Source organism: Homo sapiens, chromosome 12, assembly GCF_000001405.40.
Source record: "Homo sapiens chromosome 12, GRCh38.p14 Primary Assembly".
Classification (NCBI taxonomy): Eukaryota; Metazoa; Chordata; class Mammalia; order Primates; family Hominidae; genus Homo; species Homo sapiens.
In genome coordinates, this window is record NC_000012.12 from 42,959,225 (window position 1) to 42,962,550 (window position 3,326).

General features: G+C 38.1%; 1 annotated feature.

Moving 5' to 3' along the window:
• Positions 1,395-2,594: an enhancer, noted in NCBI's record as "P300/CBP strongly-dependent group 1 enhancer chr12:43354422-43355621 (GRCh37/hg19 assembly coordinates)". NCBI's record gives its function as "activates an origin of replication core promoter dependent on BRD2, BRD4, P300/CBP, MED14 and CDK7 cofactors, with strong dependence on P300/CBP, by STARR-seq in HCT116 cells {active_cell/tissue: HCT116}" and the evidence as "EXISTENCE:reporter gene assay evidence [ECO:0000049][PMID:35650434]".

Sequence of the window (3,326 nt, forward strand, 5' to 3'; positions counted from 1 at the left end):
TGGAGCTATGGGGTTTTGGAAAGAATACCACAGAGGCGAAATGTCCTCCTTATCACATGATGTAAGAAGGTACATGGTATCCACATGGAATCACTAGCAATGTTAAACTGAAGTTGTTTGTACCATGTTAATATAATTACTTAACACATCTATAGTTAATTCAATGCTATGGTCTAAATGTTTGTGTCCTCCCCAGATTAATATGTTAAAACCTGATTGATGATCAGTGTGATGGTGTTAGGACGTGGGGTATTTGGTAGGTGATTAGGTCATGAGAACAGAACCCTCGTGAATGAGATTTGTGCCCTTATAAAACAGGCTCTAGAGAGTTGCCTTGCCCCTTCCACCACCCTGGGAGGACACAGCTAGATGGTGCCATCTATGAACCAGAAGAGGCCGTCTCCTCATCTGGCTGTGCCTTGATCTTAGACTTTCCAGACTCTATGAGAAATTGATTATTGTTGTTTATAACCACTCAGTCTAAGGTATTTTGTCACAGCAGTCTAAATGGACTAAGACATGCAAAAATGTCACTTTAAACTTTCTGATATAGAAGATCTCAATCTCATCTCCTTAAATTCAGAAATGAAAACCTCTCTTCTTCTGCTTATCTTCTAGAAAGTAAGATTATGTGTGTATTTTCGTGTGTGGTCTTACGCACAATAAATACTATATAACCTAATATTTTCCTCTTTGTCTGAAGAACAATGGTGAAATATGCTTAATAAGTTAACAGGGAGGAATTTTCTCTAAGGTTCTTGGTTCATTTCTGAGATCCAGATAGGAACTTTGATGGCAGGGGGCTCAACTTAGCCCTCCCAGTATTAGCACATTAGGTACCTTATAAAGTGTAATTTATTTAATGTCCCGCCAGCCATACCACCCTTAAGTGTGATGTCATCAACACATTAAATGAGAACATTTGAGACTTCCAAGTTAAAAAAGAAGTAAATTTTGGCAGGGAACTCAGAAGGTGGTACGGAAGCGGTAGTGTGGTCTCCTTTCAGTTGCACCTGAGTAATGCAGTAATGCTGATGAGTAATGCAGAGGTCAGTGTGCTGGGTGCTGATCAGCAAAAATAAAGAGATATAAAACTGAGAGTCAGACCCCTTTATTCTTAAAAAACACTGAGATGTTTCCCTCTGCCTGATTTTTTGTGGGAATATTTATACTGGAACTTATCCAAAGTTGAGTCAAGTCCGGGTGAGTGAAGCAGCCTCCAGGGAATAGTGTGCCTGTCCAAAACAGGTAATTACCTTGGCCAGAGTTTGCTATATGAATGCACACTTTGCTCCCAACAAAGCCTTTAACTTGCTCAGCCTCTCTCTTGAATTGGGCCCATTGTGCCTCACTAAACTTTTGAAATTTTATTGGCTCTTCATATTTTACTTTCTGTCTTTAGATACAATTTAACGCATTTACTGTCACAATGCACTCAAGCGCTGTGACTAAGAAAGTAAGAGATAACTGTGGATAGACAAGAAAGAAAATTTCTAGATTGAAGATGCACGTTGACTCAAACTGTTATTTCAGAAAGAGCATCTTAATGTCTTCTAGATCAATAACTCTTTTTGAATATCTTTTATGTGCAAATCAGTATGTTAGATTCAAATATGTACAAAGAGAAATAAGGAATGGTGCTACCTTTACATAATACGTTGTGAGACAAGGATCAAATCCATAATTAATCAATAATCAAATCCAGCATATAGATATATAACTATATTTATTCATTTATTTATTTATTGAGACAGAGTCTCATTCTGTCACCCAGGCCGGCGTGCAGTGGTGCCATCTTGGCTCACTACAACCTCCGCCTCTTGGGTTCAAGTGATTCTCTTGCTTCAGCCTTCTGAGTAGCTGGGATTACAGGTGTGCGCCACCACACCCAGCTAATTTTTGTATTTTTAGTAGAGATGAGGTTTCACCATGTTGGCCAGGCTGGTCTCGAACTCCTGACCTCAAGTGATCCACCCACCTCAGCCTCCCAGAGTACTGGGATTACAGGCGTGAGCCACCTCACGTGGCCAGCATGTTAAATATAGTAAAAATAGAATGAAAATATAGCAATTGATTTTGTGAAGCTCTTTACGTTGTTAAAATAGAGGTATGCAAATTGGATGAAAGCTCACTTTGTTAAGAGGTAAAGGGAAACCTTAAGTGGCTTGCATTTGGTTATCCATAAGCATTCTGAGTCTCATAGATAAAACCTGGGATTTTATTATGAGGTTATTATCACACTGAACTAGAAGTCAACCTCAGACCTCTCAGCTGCATAACTTGGCAGTTCCAAATACTGCGCCCACATTCCTTGGCAAAAACAAGCTCCCAAGAATTTTGAGTTCTTAACCTCTACATTTTCTTGGTGGTATGTCATCAACCACACCTGTAGGCACGATCTTTGTTCCTTTAACATTCCATTGAGCTTTGTACAAACAGTTAATCTACCCAACACATACTCTCAATTTTCAGAGTATTGGATGATGCAATAAATATTGAGAGACTTGCAGAGATAAAACAAGCGAAAGCATTCTAGTGATTCTTATTTTTTATTAATTCTGAGATGTCTTTCATAATCTATGAATTTTCTATTTAGGTTTTATTTTGAAAGGCACTGGCCCAGAATAAAGACTCTTATCTCTCATTTCTAGGAAAGGCATTGTGTCTCAGGGTATCCTTACCTTTTTCGGTTTGTTTTCTCCATATTTTGGGCCTGGGAAGGGTAGGAGCTTGATTTTTCTTGTTTTCATATATTCCCAGCAATGCATTTAAAATAAAATTTTATATTTGATTCAGCATTTAGGATCTTATTGTTCAAGGGCTATTGAAAATATTTAGTTCACCATACTTTTTAAATTCGAAGTTTTCTCTAGAAACTCAAAGGAAGTGGAATAAATGAGTATGACTTTATCTCATTCTTTTCAGCTCTATCTCATGCTCTAGCCATAAAACACTCTTTTTTTTTTTGCAATGAATAAACCAGGTATTGCAATCAGTTCATTGATATAATTAGAAAACACATAGAATTCTATTAGATTGTCTTCTATACTTTCTGCAGCACCATTTCCACTCTCAGCCCCCATTTCACTCCCTAAAGCAACTTCCAGTAGCCAGGATATTTTAGTGGTTCTTGTGGCAATAAGAGATGTGACCTGGTCCTCTCCTGAAAGAGTAATAGAAAGTCAGACTTTTTTTTTTTTTTTGGCTTTTTATCCATGCAGTCTTATCTGATAAACCTTGCCTCGTGGAAGAGAGTTTCATGGTGGAACGTGGGTTGGTGTACTGTTGTTAGGGCTCCAGATAGAATTGGGGTTTTATCTAAACAG